This window comes from Homo sapiens, chromosome 5, assembly GCF_000001405.40.
Source record: "Homo sapiens chromosome 5, GRCh38.p14 Primary Assembly".
NCBI classification, from domain to species: domain Eukaryota; kingdom Metazoa; phylum Chordata; class Mammalia; order Primates; family Hominidae; genus Homo; species Homo sapiens.
This window is the reverse complement of record NC_000005.10, coordinates 22077998-22099894: the sequence shown is the minus strand read 5'-3', so window position 1 is coordinate 22099894 and position 21897 is coordinate 22077998. Positions and strand designations below refer to the sequence as shown.

At 38.5% G+C, this 21897-nt stretch overlaps 1 protein-coding gene across 9 annotated transcripts in view, besides 1 other annotated feature; it reads left to right on the top strand.

Moving 5' to 3' along the window:
- Positions 1-21897, top strand: part of CDH12 (cadherin 12) — a 1102672-nt gene that overhangs the window by 753450 nt on the left and 327325 nt on the right. For all 9 annotated transcript variants that reach the window (NM_001364104.2, NM_004061.5, NM_001364106.2 and 6 more), the window contains 1 exon segment: positions 21033-21449. In NM_001364104.2, coding sequence (NP_001351033.1) covers positions 21219-21449 — 231 coding nt within the window. In that variant the 5' untranslated portion in view covers positions 21033-21218.
- Positions 6708-6908: a silencer, noted in NCBI's record as "peak5184 fragment used in MPRA reporter construct". NCBI's record gives its function as "represses an SCP1 promoter by STARR-seq MPRAs in K562 erythroleukemia cells {active_cell/tissue: K562}" and the evidence as "EXISTENCE:reporter gene assay evidence [ECO:0000049][PMID:32103011]".

The window sequence follows — 21897 nt, the reverse complement described above, 5'->3', positions numbered from 1 at the left end:
GGCCTGGATACAGTTTTGTATGAATTGAAAAAGTAAACGGAATAAGAGAAGGAGAAAAACAGGTATTAAAGGTCTAAGAATTGGGAGGACCTAGGACATCTAATTAGAGAGTGCCTAAGGAGATTCAGCATAGTTCTGCCAGCAAAGATTATTTATTTACTTCAAGAGTTAAGAGTGGCAGTTTGGGGGTAGCACCAGGAGATATCAGCTGTGATGGCTTAGAGAAACAGTGTAAACCGGCAGTGTAAACAAGAGCAGGGCATTTATGAGTAGTTGAGAACGGTGAATAGGAGTATGACTAGACAGAAGATAGTAGGGATGACAAGTTTCTTGGGGCACAGTCTAAGTTGGTCTGGTGTCTGGAATGAGACTGGGGCCTAATAAAAAGGAGTGTCCATACAGGAGCTTAAATGGGCTGTACCCTGTAGCATTCCAAGGACAGGCCTGAATTCTGAGAAGGGAAAGTGATAAAAGTATTGTCCAGTCCTTTTTAAGTTGGTGGCTGAGCTTGGTGAGATGTGTTTTTAAAAGATCATTAGTCCGTTCTGCCTTTCCTGAAGATTGAGGATGGTAAGGGATATGAAGGTTCCACTGAATACTAAGAGCCTGAGAAACTGCTTGGGTGATTCGACTAGTAAAGGCTGGTCTGTTATCAGACCGTATAGAGGTGGGAAGGCCAAACTGAGGAATTATGTCTGAGAGAAGGGAAGAAATGACAGTGGTGGCCTTCTCAGACCCTGTAGGAAAGGCCTCTACTTATCCAGTAAAAGTGTCTACCTAGACTAAGAGGTATTTTAGTTTTCTGACTTGGGGCATGTTGAGTAAAGCTAATTTGCCAGTCCTGGGTGGGGGCAAATCCCTTAGCTTGATGTGTAGGGAAGGGAGGGGGCCTGAATAATCCTTGAGGAGTAGTAGAATAGCAGATGGAACACTGAGAAGTTATTTCTTTGAGGATAGATTTCTACAATGGAAAGGAAATGAGAGGTTCTAAGAGGCAGGCTAGTGGCTTGTACTATAGCATAGCCTGCCTTTGCTGGTGTGTGGCGATTAGGCCTGGTGGAACTGCTATCAATAAATCAAGCCATAATCAGGGTGAGGAACAGGAAAGAAGGAAATACGGGGACATTGGATGAATGTCAGGTGGATCAGAGGGATACAGTCATGGGGGTCAGGTGTGGTATCAGGAATAATGTGGGAGGCCGGATTGAAGTCCGGGCCAGGAACAATTGTAATTGTGGGCGACTCAACGAAGAGTGAATACAGCTGAAGGAGCTGGGGAGCAGAAAGTATATGTGTCAGGTGGGAGGAAGAAAATAGATTTTGGCAGTTATGAGAACTGTAGCGAGTGAGTTGAGCATAGTTTGTGATTTTTAGGGCCTCTAAAAGTATTAAAGCAGCGGCAGCTGCTGCACGCAAACATGAGGACTAGGCTAAAACAGTAAGGTCAAGTTGTTTGGACAGAAAGGCTAAAGGGTGGGGTCCTGGCTCTTGTGTAAGAATTCTGACCACACTAACCATGCCTAGGAAGGAAAGGAGTTGTTGTTTTGTAGAAGGGATTGGGGTTTGGGAGATTAGCTGGACACGATCAGCATGGAGAGCACATGTGTTTTTATTAGAATTATGCTGAGATAGGTAACAGATGAGGAAGAAATTTGGGCTTGACTGAAGTAATGGGGGCTGTCTTTGAAGACTTGCAGCAGTACAGCCCAGGTAATTTGCTGAGCCTGATGGGTGTCAGGGTCAGTCCAAGTGAAAGCAAAGAGAGGCTGGGATGAAGGGTGCAAAGGAATAGTAAAGGAAGCATGTTTGAGATCTAGAACAGAATAATGGATTGTGGAGGGAGGTATTGAGGATAGGAGAGTATATGGGTTTGGCACCATGGGGTGGATAGGCAAAACAATTTGGTTGATAAGGCACAGATCTTGAACTAACCTGTAAGCCTTGTCTGGTTTTAGGACAGGTGAAATGGGGGAATTGTAAGGGGAGTTTATAGGCTTTAAAAGGCCATGCTGTAGCAGGTGAGAGATAACAGGCTTTAATCTTCTCAAAGCGTGCTGTGGGATGGGATGTTGGCATTGAGCAGGGTAAGAGTGATTAGGTTTTAATGGGGTGGAAAGGGGTACATGATCGGTCGCTAAGGAGGGAGTAGAGGTGTCTTATACTTGTGGGTTTAGGTGGGGAGATACAAGGGGAGGATGTGAAGGAGGCTTTGAACTGGGGGAAAAGGTGGCAGTGAGGTGTGGCTGTAGCCCAAGAACAGTCAGGGAAGCAGACAATTTAGTTAAAGTGTCTCAGCCTAATAAGGGAACTGGGCAGGTGGGGATAACTAAAAAGGAGCGCTTAAAAGAGTATTGTCTAAGTTGGCACTAGAGTTGGGGAGTTTAAAGATGTTTAGAAGCCTGGCCGTCAATACCTACCACATTTATGGAGGCAAGGGAAACAGGCCCTTGAAAAGAAGGTAATGTGGAGTGGGTAGCCTCCTTATTGATTAAGGACTTACTTTCTGCTGTGAGAGTTACTTGAAGCTCAGCATCCGTGATGGTCTAGGGGGCTTCTGAGGCGATCGGGCAGTGTCAGTCTTCAGCCGCTAAGCTGAGAAGAGCTGGGAAGGAGTCAGTCAGAGAGCCTTGGGCCAGAGTTCCAGGGGCTCTGGGAGTGGCTGCCAGGTGAGTTGAACAGTCTGATTTTCAGTGGGGTCCTACACAGATGGGACACAGCTTAGGAGGAATCCTAGGCTGTGGGGCATTCTTTGGCCTGGTGGCCAGATTTCTGGCACTTGTAGCAAGCTCCTGAGGGAGGAGGTTCTGGAGGAAACTCTGGCAGCTGCGGTTCAGGCATTTGGAGTCCTTGTGTGCTGGAGATGTGGCTGGGGTTTGTCTCACAGTGGAGGCAAGGAATTGCAACTCAGAAATATGTTGCTACTTGGCTGCCTCTACTCTATTATTGCATACCTTGAAGGTGAGGTTAAGTCCTGTTGTGGGGTTTGAGGGCCAGAATTTAATTTTTGGAGCTTTATTTAATGTTGGGAGCAGATTGGGTAATAAAATAAAATGTATATTGAGAATAAGACGGCCTTGTGACCTTTCAGGGTCTAGGGCTGTAAAGCATCTCAGGGTTGCTGCTAAAGGGGCCATGAACTGGGCTGCGTTTTTATATTTGATGAAAAAGAGCCTAAACACTAACTGATCTGGGAGAGGTAGGATAAAGAAAAAGGAGCATTAAACTTAACTATGCCTTTAGCTCCAGCCACCTTTTAAAGAGGAAATTGCTGGGCAGGTGGGGGAGGGCTAGTAGCGGAAAGAAACTGTAAGCCGGACCAGGTGTGAGGAGGGGAGGTGATAAAAGGATTATAGGGTGGAGGATCGGAGGCTGAGGAAGAATTGGCACCTAGCTCTGCCTGGCTAGGAGGAGAGAGGTGAGATGTGTCTGTAGAAAAGGAAGATTAGAAAGACTCAGCAACACTTGGGGTTGGGACTGAGGGGACCGGCGGGAGGGAAGGAAGATTTGGGATGAGTTGCATTGGGAACAGAGACTAGGGAGGGACCAATGTATAAAAGAATGCCTGGACATCAGGCACCTCAGACCGTTTGCCTATTTTACGACAAGAATTATTTAGATCTTGTAGGACGGAAAAATCGAAAGTGCCGTTTTTTGGCTATTTGGAACTACTGTCGAGTTTGTATTGGGGTCAAGCAGCATTGAAGAAGAAAATAAGGCATTTAGGTTTTAGGTCAGGTGTGAGTTGAAGAGGTTTTAAGTTCTTGAGAGCACAGGCTAAGGGAGAAGGAGGAATGAAGGGTTGCCCATAGTGAAGGAGGCAAGTTTAAAGAGCAGGGTAGAGACACAGAGGGAAGGGGTTTGGGGGTTCTTACCCTCCAGAAAAGCAGGAAAGGGGTTGGGGCATGGAAATAAGGGGTTGGAGCGCAGATATAAGAGGTCGGGGTGTGGAAATAAGGGATCAGGGTGCAGAGATAAGAGGTTGGGGCACGGAAATAAGGGATCGTGGTGCAGAGATAAGAGGTCGGGGCACGGAAATAAGGGATCGGGGCGCAGAGATAAGAGGTTGGGGCATGGAAGTAAGGGATCAGAGCACAGAGATAAGAGGTTGGGGTGTGGAATTAAGGGATCGGGGTGCAGAGATAAGGGGTCGGGGTGTGGAAATAAGGGATTGGGGGATTCTTGCCCCCAGAAAAGCAGAGAAGGGGTAGAGACACGGAGAGAAGGGGTTGGGGGGTTCTTGCCCCCTAGAAAAGCAGTACTTGCCACTAAGGGTGAAGGAGAAGGGATTGGGGGGTTCTTGCCCCCCAGAAAAGCAGAGAAGGGGTAGAGACATGGAGAGAAGGAGTTGGAGTGTTCTTGCCTCCCAGAAAAGCAGTACTTGCCGCTAAGGGTGAAGGACCAAGGCAGGTGTTCTCGCATGGTCAGACACCTCTGAAACATGGGTGAATAATCAGAGAGGCGTCCCTGCAATGATTAAACACCAAGGGAAGGCTGCCTTCCCGAGTCCATGACCGGCGCCGGAGTTTTGGGTCCACAGATAAAACGTGTCTCCTTTGTCTCCACCAGAAAATGAAAGGAATTGAAATTAAGAGAAGGGAGAGATTGAAGGGTGGCACCAAGATTGAAAGGAGAAAGTGGTTGAGGGATAGTGAGAGACGTTGGAGAAGTGAGAAGAGGCCACTTACCTGATTTAAAATTGGTGAGATGTTCCTTGGGCTGGTGGGTCTGAGGACCTGAGGTCGTAGGTGGATCTTTTTCATGGAGCAAAGAGCAGGAGGACAGGGGATTGATCTCCTAAGGGAGGTCCCCCGATCCAAGTCACGGCACCAAATTTCATGTATGTCCGTGTGAAGAGACCACTAAACAGGCTTTGTGTGAGCAATAAAGCTTTTTAATCACCTGGGCACAGGCGGGCTGAGTCCGAAAAGAGGGTCAGCAAAGGGAGATAGGGGTGGGCCCGTTTTATAAGGTTTGGGTAGGTAAATGAAAATTACAGTCAAAGAGGGGTTGTTCTCTGGTGTGCAGGAGTGGGGGTCACAAGGTGCTCAGTAGGGGAGCTTTTGAGCCAGGATGAGTGAGGAGAAGGAATTTCACAAGATAATGTCATCAGTTAAGGCAGGAACCGGCCATCTGGATGTGTATGTGCAGGTCACAGGGGATATGATGGCTTAGCTTGGGCTCAGAGGCCTGACAGTTCCAATTGTTTGTGCATCTTTAAATCTATACTGATATGTAGCTGGGCCATTGTGAGGCCTCTTGATGCCCATTAATACACTCTTAAGTTCAAATCTGTCTCCTAAAATCTCCTTTCTTCTTTCTCCCCCTCTCCCACATGACTACCTACTTACAGGCCATGCCACCCCCTACTGTTACGATAGTTTCTGTCCTTACCTTCTCCCTTGTACACATTCCTCTGAGAAATGTACTTTGTGCTAAACTCAGCTTCATTTTCATCCTAGATTTAGTCCCTCTGGAATTCTGGTGAATAAAACTACTCATACCATTATGTATTGACATTATTCAAATCTTTGTGGTTCTCCGTAAAGAGCAGCATAGTATCTATTTCTGCAACCCAAGAGCTCTTCTTGCTTGCAGTCAGTCAGATTCTTATGGGTCACCTCTTAAGTTGGTTCCAAGGCTTAGTCTAGAAAATAAGCTGAGGCATGGCTTCAGACTCCTCTTTCCCCCATGTTCACTGCTTCCTGGAATGTTTAAAGGAGTGTGCTGCCTTTGTGTCTTGGGAAAATTCATCTGTGTAACGGTTTGCCTCTTGATTTCCCTCTGCAGCACAGATAAAGCAAATGTGGGCGATTTCCAGCCCAGATGGTTTCTATAAAACTTTAGAGGATTTATATGCTGCCCAGGTGGTCATGGTGAAGCAGTGAGGCACTAGCACATGTAAATCAGTGGAAATACTCTCAAATATGAGCCATAAGTTAGTATTGAGGTAGTCTCTGATCAATATTATGTAAAATATATTAACACATGAATTGGGACCTTGTTTGATTTAATTTGCTTCAAGAAGCAAAGACAATTTCAGGTCCACTAATTACAGCCCAAAATCTTGAGTCTGAAGTCTATCATGAAGTCATTTTTTAAACAACTTTATTGCGATATAACTTCCATATCACACAATCCACCTATTTAAAGTATGGAATTCAATTTTTATTACTATATTCACATAGTGTTGCAACCATCACCACAATATGATTTTAGAACATTTTTATTCGCCCAAGAAGGAACCCCAAACCCGTTGGCAATCATTCTCCAGGTCATACCCAAAATACAGTCCCTAAACAACAATTAATTTCCCCTCTGTCTTTATTCACCTATTCTAAAAACAATATAAATAACAATCATATAATATGTAATCTTTTATAACTGACTTCTTTCATTTGCAAAATGTTTTAAAATTTCATCTATATTGTAGCAGGCATGAGGACTTTATCCCTTTTCATTGCCATGTAATAATCAATTGCATGGTGTTATGTAAATGAGCTAAATGTAGACTTTTTATATGTACCCTTAGTTTATTTCTTCACTACAAGTTGAGACCCATGAGCTCCAAACCCCACCAGAGTCAAACTCAAATTTTCATACATTCAATTGTTTTAAAAATAGTCCAAACAAGTAGATTTTTAGCCACTTAAGAGAGTGTCTGATTTACTTACCCTTCAAAACCTCACCCCACACCTGCTAGTAATAGATAAGCTAGAGCTTTGTGGTTATGAAATCCAAGCTGCGACAGCCCTTTGGATCTCTCTGACCCAGAGACACCTGACCATGCTGCTTAATAACATCATTTGTGTAAACCACCTCTCTGAACCCCCTGTCCTCTGGATAATAGCCCCTATCATCAGCCCCATGCTGCAAGGGATGTGCACTCTCATGTGAGGCTGTGCAAACACCACCCACTAAAGCTTGTTGTGTGTTAACTGCTTCTCACAGTGACATCATTTTCCTTGATCAGTCCCCAAATCCCTTGAACCCTCTACATATGAATATATGAGATTTTGTTCATCAAATAATCCCATTGGTTTTTATGTAATTTGTTTCCACTGTTCGGCTATGATTAATAATGCTGCTGGGAGGTTATGTATACAGGTTTTTGTGTGGATGAGTCTTTTCCATTTTCTCTTAGGTAGATACCTAAGAGTGAAATTTCTGGATCATCTCATAAACTCTATATTTTAACATTTTGAGGAACTACCAAAATAATATCCAAAAAAGCTCCACCATTTTACATTCTTAGCAGCCATGTGTGCGGGTGCTGATTTTTCACATCCTCCTTCAACATTTGTTACTATGTTATTTTTCTATTATAGCCATCTTCACTGTGGTTTTCGATTTGCATTTTCCTAGTGACTAATGAATGGTGTTGACAGTCCTTTCATGGGCATATTGTCCATGTGTGTATCTGATTTGGAGAAATGTCTATTCAAAGCCCTCTCTCATTTATTGATTGTATTATCTTTCTATTGAATAATAAATGGTCTTTATATATTTGAGATACAAGTCTCTTGTCAAGTGAATAATTTGAACATACTTTTTTGCATTCTATGGGTTATCTTTTTACTTCCATATCTGTATTCTTTGAAGCAAGAAATTGCTAATTTTCCTAAAGTCCAGCTTGTCTTTATCTTGTCACTTGGGCTTTTGAAGTCATATATTTTTAAACACACTGAATTGCCTATTCTATGTTTGTGTGTAAGAATCTTACAGGATTAACTCTTAAATAAGGTCTATGATCCATCCTGAGTGAATTTTTGCATATGGTGGCAGTAGAGGATAAAAGTCATTTTTATGTGGATATCCAATTGCCCCAGGATCATTTACTGAGAAAATAGAGACCCTAAAATAAACTTATTTTTAGGCAACTGATTTGCTACAAGCAGTATTAGATACAATGGGCCTGGGTCAATTGGATATCCACATAAAAAAAAGACTAATTTAATCCTCCACTGCCACCATATGCAAAAATTCACTCAGGATGGACCCATTTATTTTAGGATCTCTATTCCTTTCTATGGCTTCTGGGTGTATACTTATGCCAGTACCACATTGTCATGCTTATTGCAGTGGTGTTTTGAGCTTTAAAAGTGAAAAGTGTGAGTTCTCCAAATTATTTACTTTTTTGTATAAGACTGTTTTTAATATTCTGCTGGGTCCCTTTCATTTCTACATGAATTTTAGAATGAACATTTCAATTGCTGTACTATCGTGGCTTGAATTTTGACAGGAATTGCATAAGGATCAATTTGGGGTTATTGTCTTCTTAATAATATTAACTTTCCAATCTATGAACATTTTATGCCCACTCATTTACATAGACATTCTTTAATTTCTTGCAACAATGGTTTGTGGTTTTCAGCATATGCATTTTTCACTTCTTTTGTTAGGTTTTGATCTAAATATTTTATCTTTCAGACACTATTATAAATGGAAGTATTTTCTTAATTCAATTTTCAGTGCCATTTTTAATGGCATTCAATTTTAATGACATTTCAGTGTATAGAAATACAGTTGAGTTTTGTATATTGATCTTGTATGCTGCCAGGCCTCTAACACTCTCCCTCTGTTTCTCTCTCTCTCTCTTTCTCTCTCACACACACACACAAACACACACACAAATATCTTAAACTATATGTATATACTTTAAAATATTTACTAAGCTATATATATATATATATATATATACACACACACACACACTTTAGGATATTTAATATAAAAGATCATGTCATCTGCAAGTTGAGACAAATTTTTTTCTACCTTTCTAGTCTGGTAAATTTTCCCTCTTTTCTTGTCTAATTTGCCTAATAAAACCTCCATTAGAATGTCGTAAAGACACGAGGAGAGTGTACCTTCCTTTCTTGTTTGTGTTCTTGGAGAGAAAACATGCAGTCTGTTACCTTTACCATGATATGACTTGTGGAGACTTGTTAGATTATCTTTGTCAGCTTGCAGGTGTTTTGTTTTCTTCCTACTTTGTTGATTGTTTTTATCAATAAAACATATTGAAAATTATCAAATACATTTTCTAGATCATTGACATGATCCTCTGTTTGTTTTGTTTCTTCTTTATTCTATTGACATGGGTATTACATTAAATATTTATTGGACATTAAACCAACATTGCAGTAATAAGATAAATCCCATTTGGTCATAGTGTATAATCTCTTTCGTATTTTGCTGGATTTGCTGTGCCAGAACTGTGTTGAGAATTCTTACATTTATATTCATAAGGGATATTGGTATTCAGGAGGGTGTGTGTGTGTGTGTGTGTGTATGTATGTATGTGTGTGTGTTTATCTTGTCAAGTGTTGGTTGGATTTCAGTATTGTAATGTTAAAGGTCGCATAGAATAAGTCAGGGTATGTTCCCTCAACTTCTTTTTTTTTTTTTTGAGTTTACAGAGGTTTTATATTAATTATTATTGAAATGTTTGATAGAATTCAACAGTGAAGACATCTTGTTCTGAAATTTTCTTGGTGGGAAGTTTTTGAAATTGCTAATTTGATCTCTTTATGTGTTATAGTCCTAATCAGGGCTTCTAAACCTTTGAGGTAATATTATTAATTTTTGTCTTTCTAAAAATGTGTCCATTTCATCAATGTTGTTTAATTTGTTGGCATAAAGTTGTTCATGGTATTTGTTATAGTACGTTTTTTAATTGTTAGAAGGTTGATAGTGATGTTTCTTCTTTACTGATTTTAGTAATTTCATTTTTTGTAATAATTATAACTAAGCATTTGTTAATTTTGTTAATCCTTTCAAAGGAACAATTTGGTGTGTTTATTTTATCTATTGTTTTCATTCTTTACATTATTAATTTCCACTTCAGTCTTTATCTTTACTACTTCTGATTGTTTTGAGTTTAGTTTGCTCTTCTTTTTTTCTTCTTTCTTATTGGGGTGGTTAAATTATTGATTTGAGAATTTTTAAATGTAGGCACTTACAGTTATAAATCTCCTTATGCTCACTGCTTTGTTACATACATTTGTATGTTCTATTCTAGTTTTAATTAATCTCATTTTTTTAAAATTTCCCTATACTTTATTCTTTAAATAATTGGTTATTTTAGACGGCATTGTTTGACTTTTTCACCTTTTAATTTCCCCAGTTACAGAAATTCTCATATTTTCTTCTGTAGTTCTAAAATGTACCGAAATTTTTTTTCTGCAGTTGATTTTTAATGTAATTATATCTTAGATGAAGAAGGTATGTGGTAAAATTTTAATCTTGGTTATTTCTTCTCCCAGATCAAATCTAGTGTTGAGCTCCTCTAGTAAATGTTTTCATTTCTGTTATTCTATTTTTCATCTCTGTAATTGCCATGTGGCATTTAAAAAGTAAATTATCTTTTTAATAACATTTTCATTTGATGAGATATTATCAACTGTCTTCCTTCCTTTAATTCTTTATGCATTGTTACATTTGGTTCTTTCAAGATGTTTATAATGTTACTTTGACATTTTTGCTTGCCAAGTCCACTGTCTAGGCTCCTTCAATAACTAGTTTCTCTGATTTCCCCCCATCCCAGTGTGTGGATCCCATTTTTCTGTTTCCTTGCATGTCTTAACATTGTGGAAAATTGACTTTATAAATACTATATTCTAACAGTTCTAATTACTGAACCACCAGTCCCTTTCCTGGGGGTTGTTGTTATTTGCTTGGTCATTTATCTCTTAGTGAATTGGATGAACTCATTTTGCGGAATCTTTTACCCCCACAGTTTTCAGCCTCTGCCTGCTCAGAATTTTTCTGTTTTCTATCTTTAATCATGGCCACATATGACATTGTCTAATGTCAGTGTAAACAGCCTGCTGGTCAATGGCTGTTTGTAAGCCCCCGTAGCCAGTTAGATTTTTACTTTTTACCATTGTACTGCTGCGTCTGAGTCAGAGTAGCATGTTGTTCAGTCAGTATTTGGTATGAAGTTTTATTTAAGCCCTTTGTGCAGGTGGGGCTCCTGCCACATCAAAAGTTTTGTGTTTACCTTGGGGGACACTTTCACAACTGCCTCATGCCATGCGGTGGTTGGTAGTAAGAAAGCAAGGCTTACTGTGTATAAATTACCTTACCAATTTCCAGAGTTGATCTTGGTCCCATGAGAGGTCTTCTTGATTGTCCCTTTGCGTGTATCACAGAGCCACCAGCTTCCTCATAATTGCTACCTGCTGGGTTTTTACTACTTTCAACATCAGACAAGGAGTTTACACTCTGTCCAAATAAAGTATGCCCCCTGAGACAAAGCTGTAGAGCCCTTTGTCCTTTTGGCCTCTGTTTCCCCTGAGAGGAATGTCTATACCAATGCAACAACACTGGGAGTTGGGACCCTCATACCCTGTAGTGATACCTTCCCTTTTTAAGGGGGCATTGGTGGTAGTAGTGGTGGTGGTGATAGGGATTGTAGTCCTTAGTCTTCTCATTTACCCCTACGAATGTGGAATTTCTGCTCTACAAGAAACCTAAGGCAAGGAGAGGAGGTCCCAGTATGCTTGACTTGGTGGGTCTGAAACAGAGCTTTTATCCTCTGAGAGGGGCTGGGGAAAAGGAAGTCTTGGTTCTCTCCTCCACACCCACTAGAAATAGTGTTTCTACAACTCAGGACTGGCAAGAAGGATGAGAAACACAGCTGGCAATGAGTGTTATTTTGTTTGCTGAATACACTTAAGACCATTTCTAGAGACTTTAAATGATAATTATTAAATAATTGTCTCAGTGAACTTGCTGCTTTGCTGTGTAGAATGTCAGCATAACTCTTTACTCTGCCATTCCAGAAGCATTGCATCCTACTTTTAAATTTCACTCTCAGAATGCACCTATCATCATTTTTTTAAATTCAGTCCCGATTAACTACATAAAATTGGGAATTCAGAAAGATCACACAGGGGTATGATAGAGTCTAAGTGGCTTCAGACAATTTTGATGGTATTACTACAACTGGAATTTTCTCCAAACTTACTCTGAGCTGATTTTCTGAGCAGCTCACCATCAATCCCCAGTGGGTGGCTTTCTGGAAACTTTCTTAAATCTATCCCTGTAGGAGCATTTTCCATTATTTTGTTGATACAGAATTTGAATGCAGTTTGAAAATTCAAAGTATTTTCCATCACAGTTATCCTTCTTCAACACATGGTTAAATAATCAAAATGGAGATCTTGAATTTTTATGAAGATTTCTATACATTACAAAGCAATGTCTAAATAGGACTCAAATTATTTTTTTCCCATTCTTTTTTTTCTTTTTTTGAGACAAAGTCTCACTCTGTCACCCAGGCTGGAGTGCAGTGGCATGATTGCGGCGCACTGCAACCTTTGCTTTCTGGGTTCAGGCAATTCTCCTGCCTCAGCCTCCCAAGCAGCTGGGACTACAGGTGTGTGCCACCACACCAAGCAAATTTTTGTATTTTTTAGTAGAGACAGGGTTTCACCATGTTGGCCAGGCTGGTCTCGAACTCCTGGCCTCAAGTGATCTGCTTGCCTCGGCCCCACAGAGTGTTGGGATTAGAGGTGTGAGCCATCACACCCGACCTTTTTTCCCCATTCTTGTCACATCACTTCTTGTAAACTCGTTCAGTGTCTGACAGAAAGTAGATTGTACCTTATTTTAGCCATAACTGAGTCCCAGTTTCCCCTCTTCTGTACATCTTATATTAGGATAGTATACTTCTTACAGGTGAATAACCAATACTGATACATTATTATTATCTAAAGTCCATATTTTCTTCAGGTTTCCTTAATTATTACCTATGATTATTTTAATATTCCAGGATCCCCTCCATTGCATTTAGTTGTCCTGTCTGCTTAAGCTCCTCTTGGCTTTGACAGTTTCTCAGATTTTTCTTATTTTCAGCAACTTTCACCATTTTAAGAAGTACTAGTGAGGCATTTTATAGGACATCTCTCAATTGAGACTTGTCTTATGATTAGAATGGGGTTATGGATTTTTGGGTGAAAGACCACAGAGGTAAATTATCAATTTCAGAATACACTGTCAAGGGTTTTCAAACAATGCAGTTAAAATCACACCACAAAAATAAAGATGTGATCGATTTCTTTTCTCCTTAAAGAGAGAGATTCTGTCTCTTGCCATAAAGTACTGGAAAGATGTCCCATGTTGAGTTTCTTTTTTTTTTAACATTTTTTTTTTCTTGGCTTGTAGGAGATACCAGTAGCAGCCATTTTCATTTCAGTAAAACTAGTAGCAGCCATTTTCATATCAGTTAAAATTCGGGCCGGGCACGGTGGCTCACGCCTGTAATCCCAGCACTTTGGGAGGCCAAGGCGGGTGGATCACAAGGTCAGGAGTTCAATGCCAGCCTGGCCAAGATACTAAAAATGCAAAAAACAAACAAACAAACAAACAAACAAAAAACAAATTAGTGGGACTTGTTGGCACGTGCCTGTAATCCCAGCTACTCAGGAGGCTGAGGCAGAGAATTGTTTAAACCCGGGAGGCGGAGGCTGGAATGAGACGAGATCACGCCACTGCACTCCAGCCCGGGTGACAGAGTGAGACTCCGTCTCAAAAAATAATAATAAAAAATAAATAAATAAATAAATATATAAATAAAATTCAAATAGCATATTTTGGCTTCCTAACATACTTGAGAAGTAGGGAGTAGAATCTGGACAAGCCAGAGAGGCAGGATTAATGAACCCCATAAGTTAAGATCATTGAGTAATAATCATCTACAGACACCTCTGTTTTGCTGATAAGAATTAGCAGAGATTGGTTTACTATGTCTGCTTCTCAGCAGGCAGTCTATAAAACAAAAGAGTGAGTGTTAAGGGTTTGCTATACCAGAGAGAGAGTCATATGTCATTTTGGGATAGGTTTAACTGGAACCAAAAAAGCTGCATTAGGGATGTATGCTCATTCCCAAGGCTTTTCAAAAAGTACCATGTTTTCCTGAACAAAGCTTAAAATTTGCATAACAGTGCCTGTTGAAACCTTCAAATAATTTTCCTGGGAGTCATATTCTTAAACTATCAGATTTGCTTGAAGTCTTTAAATATTTACTGATTATAATGCATTTCATACAATAGGAAGCAGAAAGCTTAATTTATGAAGTTAAGTCAAATAAAATAATGTTTTCAAGGTGAAGAATAACATTAAAAAATATAAAGCATATTGTTGACATTTTAATATTTTTTGGATTACGTAAGTTATGCTGCCATTGATTTTTTTTAATAATATGGAAAATAAAGCCTTCCCTTATATTGTTCAATGGGGATCACTTTTGATTACTATTTCAAATTAAAGGGCCACCTATTCACAAGAGGAGGTGGGGGAGGTTGTATTATTTTCCTTTTAAATTTTAAGAAGTGCCCTTGAAAAATTACTCCATAGAATATTAATTTAAAATAGACCACAAGCATAGTCACCATTAAAGAGTTCTCCAATATGCAGTTAGTATTAGAATGCTACCCATAATAGAGAACACCTTTTAATAATTAACAAGTCTTTCAGCTTAATAAGTTGTCCCTGACAAAGAGAACCCTTTCAATGTAATTTATATTGAATATATTTGCCCTTTTTCAGGAGTTATTCTTAAAAGCAAACACTCCCCATTTAAATAAATAACTAGGGAAACCACAGCCTTTGTATATCTTTTAGCTTTGGAGGCACACTTCAAGGAAGTGTTACTGTCAGTGAGTATTTCACAACTAAATATCTGCTGCTTTGATATATGACCATTTAAAAAAAAAAATCCCTCCTGCTAAAAGGGATGTTGGGCTCCAGAGAGTCATCATCCGAGTTAAGAAGTCTTTGAAAAGTCACTCTGGCTCTACAAAAGATGAGGAAGCATAGACAAATATAAATATTTTATCACTGTACCTGAAATCAGGTATATGGAATACAACCTACTTCTGGTGATGTCCTTTGTAGCAAATCTGTCTTCCTTAAGGTTCACATATTTCCATAGGGTACTGACCTCCCAGAATAAGCTTTCTGTTCTTGCTTTTATAACAACACCATTGGTGCTGGGGCAAGTATACCCAGGTTGATGGCTTGATATAGTTTTTCCTTGTAATTTAGCCTGTGTTTCATGCCTGGGGGAGTTGTTTGCCTTTCACTTAAGAACTGGAGTCCTTCAATCTCCTTGCATTATTATTGTTGTGATATAGCACTTTAAAAGCTCCCTGGCTGACAACCGTGGCCAGAGTCTGGGATCTGCTGGGAGCAGCATCCTGTACTGAAAATAACATTGGTTCATCTGTTCACTGAAGGACTGTAGTGTTATAGAGACTTGAAATGGATTTTAGGATTATAAAACAATGACAGGAGTGAGGAAATGCACTCACACACGTTCTCATTGAGGGATGAGATTGAAAAATATTTACTTAGTCATATTTATTGTATAGCTCCACAAATAAAAGACCATTGTTGATTGTGTCCTCACAGTTCAAATGCTACTTAACAGATAGTTACTTAGCATAAAACTATGCTGTGAATTCATGTAAAATGATACTTCAGATCTTTCTTGTTCCAAAGTCAATATTTTTATTAATCCATTAAGTAATTTATTTATTTTTAATAATATCAATGCCAGAAGCAATCCTCAAATGTAGAATTGTCAGGTAGGTCAAACAGGCTGCCATCTCATCTATCGGACCCCAGAACTACATCCACAGTTCAAGATCACTAGGAAGAGCTCCCTGGAACAGTTGGAAACCCTCATACCCTCTTTTCTGTACAACAGCTATTTCTTATCACTCAACCTGGTGACCTGTTTAGTGCCTTGATGGGCTGTTGGAGCACTTTCTGAATTTTCAGTCACTGTGCAATCCTATGAGAACAGTGACCATGTCTATTATTTCCTACCTCTGCCTAAAATTATGTCCTTCCCAGATCTTTGTGGGTGGAAAGCTGGGAGTCTTGGATCTCTGGACTTCAGAGGAACTATATTGACCTGATAGCTTAAATCTCCTAATTTTACAAAAGAGCTAAATGAGTCTGAAAGCTTAAGCTGCCCAGTATTGAAATACCTGCTTAGGTTTTGAAAAATAACTTGAAACTCAAGTTTGCGGGCACATATTCCTTGTTTTACTAGGATTGGAAACCCCTGAGGTTTTGTGTATTTTTATATCTATTAACAGAGGGGCAACACCGTAGAGGATCCAAGAGTATGAGCTCTGTAGTCAGACTGCCCAGATTCAAGCCTGCCTGCTATGTACTAACATGTAGATCATGGTCAAGTCACTTAACATCTCTGTTCCTCCATTTCTTCTGTCAAATGGGTGTAATAATACCACCTCCTTCACAGGGCTGTTATATAGGCATAGAACATACAACACTATGTAGAACATTGTAAGTTTTCAATAAAGGTTAGCTATTACCATTCAATGAATTATTCATTCAAACTTAACAAAGATGTACTTGGTGCCTACAATTTGCCAGGTAATAGTGTAGACCCCAGGAACAGAATGGCTGATAAAATAGGCATCATTACTCCTCCCTAGCTTCTCTTTACGCCACCACTCCACCCAGAAAAGAGTAAACAAATAATCACATGAGTACACTCCTAATATAAATTACTGTTATTACTGTTATTAACATGAGTTAAAACTAAGGAGTTTGGACTCAGGAAAGGAAGAGAATGGCAAGGGTTGAACATGCAGAGGTCGATTATGCAGGCCTTGTTAAATTCGTAAATGTCATATTAAAGTTCTGGATTTTAATACGTGCAAGGAGAAAGTTTTATGTTTTTAATTACAAGTGCTTCTGCTAAGTGTGATATGCAAGTTTTTTAAAAGCTCTGCATTCTGCAAAATTCATATTAAAATAACAGAGCTCATAGAGAAAAAAGATATGTGCAGATCCCCAAAACTCATGCAATTGCCACTAGCAATCACCATCCCAATGAAAATATCAGCAAAAATAAACTATTGCTAAATAAATATCTAGTAAACATAAAATTCTACTCTTAAAAAAGAAGGTAATTTGATAACATGGATACAAGTAAAGTTCAGCCTACTTTGAGAGAGAAATGCATAAAAATCTGGAAGAAACACAGCACAGTATGATAGAATTTGTGTCCAACAAGAGCCAAAGTAAGAACAGAATGTGGGCCTGAGGGAAATGGGCATCATGTTCTACGTTGCACTCCTCTGTGGCTCCAGTTAACTTCAGCTTTATTACCATAGTTTGCATTTAGCTGCTGTTGTTTCCTGATGCAAACTGTTTATGTGTTGGTGAATTAGCTTATGAAACAACACACAGTAGTCACCCCTTATCCTGCGTCATTTTCCATGGTTTCAGTAACCGGTGATCAACTGCAGTCCAAAAATATTAAATAAAAACCTACAGAAATAAACAATTTATAAGGTTTGAACTGTGCACCATTTAGAGTAGCATGATGAAATTTTGCACCATATACTTCTGTCCCACCTGGGATGTGTATAGTCTCTTTGTGCAGTGGATTCAAGAGGTAGACACTCCCTACCCATGAGTCACTTAGCCTTCTTGGTTAGCAGACTGACTGTCACAGTATCGAGTGCTTATGTTCAAGAAAGCCTAGGTTACTTAATAATGGCCCCAAAGTGCAAGAATAGTGATGCTGGCAACTTGGATATGCCAAAGAGAAGCCATAAAGTCTTCCTTTTATGTGAAAAGGTGAAAGTTCTCTACTTAATAAGGAAAGAAAATAAATCATATGCTGAGGTTGCTATGGTAAGAATAAACCTCTCCATGAAATTGTGAAGAATGAAAAAGAAACCCCTTCTAGTTTTGCTGTCCCACCTCCCAAAACTGCAAAAGTTACAGTCCCATGATATGGGCTTAGTTAAGATGGAAAAAGTATAAAATTTGTGGGTGGAAGACATAAACAGAGATGTGTTCAGATTGACAGATAACAGCTTCGGTACTATCCTTGGTTTCAGGCATTTCCTGGGGGTTTTGGAACACATTCTTCACATATAAATGGGGACTACTGCACTTTGCATGTTAAATTTATGTTTCTCTCTAATTACCAATCACTTATTCACTAATTTTTCCACACTATAGACACATATTCTAGCACAATCAACAGATGGAAAGTGATGTGAGTGGATGGAAACTTCTGCAAGATTACTCTGGTAGGGAGCCACAGCTCAGATTTTAGACACATTTGACTTCTAAGCGAAAAGGAGAATTTGGACCAGACTGGCGGCAATGATGATGAATGTTGTCATATGTCCAACCTCAAAAATCTCTAATATACAATAAAAAGACACTTGTCTTGAGAGATGACCTTAGATGTCAGTGTTCTCTAAAGTCTGAGTGTTGATACCTCACATCCCCAAAATAGTGAAAGAAAAGGTTTAATAGAACAGGAAGGCAGAAATGCAACCTAATGGCATATTCTAGAATAGATTTGGGAAGTCAGAGTTTCTGTCACCCATTTTTCTCCTTGTATTTATCTCCCAATCTGAACTGATATGCTTGGAATAGGATTGGTATGAGTATGGGATGAAACATGGAAGAAACAAAAAATTTAAGAAATTAATACACCTTGGAGGTTAACCCTAGCAATTTAAACTTAAAAACAAATGAGAAAAAAATACATTACCATGCTTACACGTTATTGAAATAGATGCAAAAGATTCTCTGACTTTCTAACGTATTTTTACCGCAAACGTGATGGAGTTCATGTTAGATATTTTACTTTGAATGTTAAGAATAAATTGCTTAAATAGAAATCACAGTTTGTGATTCAAACTGTATTGTCTAAATCAGTGCTGTCCAATTGAAAATAATTCAAAATGTAAATGTGAGTTGCATATCAAATGTTAATTTTCTAGTAAGCACATTAAAAAATTGGAAAGAGGCCAAGCGAGGTGGCTCACGCCTGTAATCCCAGCACGTTGGGAGGCTGAGGCAGGTGGATCATGAGGTCAGGAGATCGAGATCATCCTGGCCAACATGGTGAAACCCCGTCTCTACTAAAAATAAAAAAAATTAGCCGGGTGTGGTGGCACGCACCTATAGTCCCAGCTACTCGGGAGGCTGAGTCAGAAGAATCAGTTGAACCCAGGAGGCGGAGATTGCAATGAGCTGAGATTACGCCACTGCGCTCCAGCCTGGGAGACACAGCAAGACTCCATCAAAAAAAAGAAAAAGAAAAAAGAAAGAAAGAAGCAAAATTAATTTTAATAATGTGTATTTATTTATCCTAACATATCCAAAATATCATGTCAAGTGATAAAAAAAAAGATACCTTCCTATTTTTTGTACTGTCTTTGAAATTCAACATATAATTTAAAAGTAGAGCACATCATGATCCCAAATTGCCAATTTTTAACTAAAAAGGCACATGTGACTAGAGGTTTCCATATTGGACAAGGCAGATCTAACTTAACTTTTTATAAATATTATTTTGTCAGAATGAAAAGATGCAAAAAAAGACAACTTACGGTTTTGTCAATATCTAACAGTTACAGTTACACTCTTATAAAGAAGAAAAAAATTTATATCCGGTTTTATTTTATTTTTTTTAGGTTTGCCCTATAAAATACTTTCAGAGTATAACTTTTGGACACTCCTCATCTCATATCTTATCTCAAGTATGGTGAATTACTATTTCCACATTTAATGTTTAAATTTCAATATTTATAAAGAACTCATTAAATGTTTTTATTACATTACACATAAGTGAATACACATTGTTCTGAACTGCAGCTGACTAGTTGACAAAAACACCATGTTTTATAGACATTTAATTAAACATGCATTGATTTGATTTTAGTTCTCTTGTTTTGGAAGCATTATATATATTTTCTGGCTTCCAACGTTTTCGGCCTTTAGAAACCTTATAGGCTCGAAGCACTGTGACCCTAGTGCCAAATGCATAAAATCACCCTTGTTCTAGAGCCACGTTTCATCATGCCTGCTTAGAAAATATAGGAATGCTTTTATTCCTTTAGACCTCAGTGCAATTATCACCTACAACAGGTTTTGCTAACGTAGGTTTTACCCTCAGGATATTCTTGTTTGCTTTTTTTTTTTCCATTTGCATAATCTGCCCTCAGTTATTTATTTGACTGTTTATTTTTTGTTTGTGATTTTAGAGAGGCAAAGATTGTGTCTGTTTTTTTATCTACCACATAATTAAAGACAGTGTGTTATAGACACTCAATGAATATTAGATAAGTGAATTTAAAAACGCTTGTTATAAGAAAAAGTTCAAAGGTCATTTTATCTAAATGCAGAGTAAAAGCTCTGCATCTGGTAGGGATCCAGCTTTTCTCTGAGCTACACAACGTCTATAAAGTAATACTCACATTGTCAAGGTTTCTGGTATATCCAGGCTAGAGAAACATTTTTAAAGAAAATTTAAATTTATAAAGACTTAAAACATTGTATCCATCATTTACATTTTAGTAAGATGATTCGCTTTTACATTTAATAATTTATCTTGTTCTTTAGATCGTCTGTATCTTTCTATTCTCTAACTTCAGGAACTTTTTGCTTTTTAAAAATTGTTTTCTTTATTCTCTACATTGTGGTTCTTAATTTTGGCATTTTTTGCTCCCCTAGGGGATATATGGCAATGTCTGGAGATACTTTTTTCTTGTCACAAACCAGATATGGGAAGGGGTGCTACTGTCATCTATTAAGTAGAAGAAAAAAGTGCTACTAGAAATCTTAAAATGCACAAAATAGCTTCCCAGCAATAATGAATTATCAACCCTAAGATGTCAATAATGCTGAAGTTGCAAGATCCTACTCTAACTTAATAGCTCACTTTAAAATAGTGGTCTGTATTTTTCTCCTTAAAATGATTTGCCAATTTTTTGAAAATATCATTTCTGTTTATAATGCACCTTTTGCTTCATTGTAACTAATATTTTCTCAAGTCTGTGAAAAACTCAGATAATTTATCCAAGTTAAAATGTTGAATAGCGGTGACCGTTTACTAATATAATTCTTTTATAGTCTTTCTTCTCGGTTTCCTTAAATGTTGGCAGATATAATGAGCGTTGTGATGAATATCATCATGCAATTTCATTAATTTAATGTATCTTTGTTCATCTATTTCATAGGCCCCTTTAGATGGAATATAATACAGCAGAAGCCTTTTCATCAAAAGGATTAATGCCTGCATCATCATTTCTGCAATAAAACAAGAAGCTAAGTGGTGGAGGCCACAGACACCTCAAACCTGGATTCCACAATTCTACGTTAAGTGTTGGAGTTTTTATTACTCTGCTGTAGGAAAGCCTTTGCCAATGCTTACAAGGAACTGTTTATCCCTGCTTCTCTGGGTTCTGTTTGATGGAGGTCTCCTAACACCACTACAACCACAGCCACAGCAGACTTTAGCCACAGAGCCAAGAGAAAATGTTATCCATCTGCCAGGACAACGGTCACATTTCCAACGTGTTAAACGTGGCTGGGTATGGAATCAATTTTTTGTGCTGGAAGAATACGTGGGCTCCGAGCCTCAGTATGTGGGAAAGGTAATGGCGTATTTCTTTTGACAACCGCTTGATAGGAAGGGGGAATATGCATTGTGTATTTTGTATGGATGTTTTGCACAGGAGTTGAACAAACCAGTGACTAGAACACTGGAATTGAAATCCAAGAGACCTGGTTTATCTTCCTGACTCAATGGCCCGGGTAAGCTTCAGAATATCATTTAAACCCTCTTTGCTTTAATTCTTCCTGATTATTTTAATGAAAATAGTATATATTTCGTTCAATTTTTGACATTCTTTGCTGAAGACATGAAGTTAAAGTATGAAAATGTTATTAAGCATAATTATAACCATAGTTAGAAGTATAGTATCAGTATAGTTATATCATTTTTATTGCTCACAGCCAAATTGGAGATATTTAGCAATAAGAGACACAGAGAAGAATCACCAGGCATAAATAATCTAAACTGATCTTGGTGTTCTTTAATGA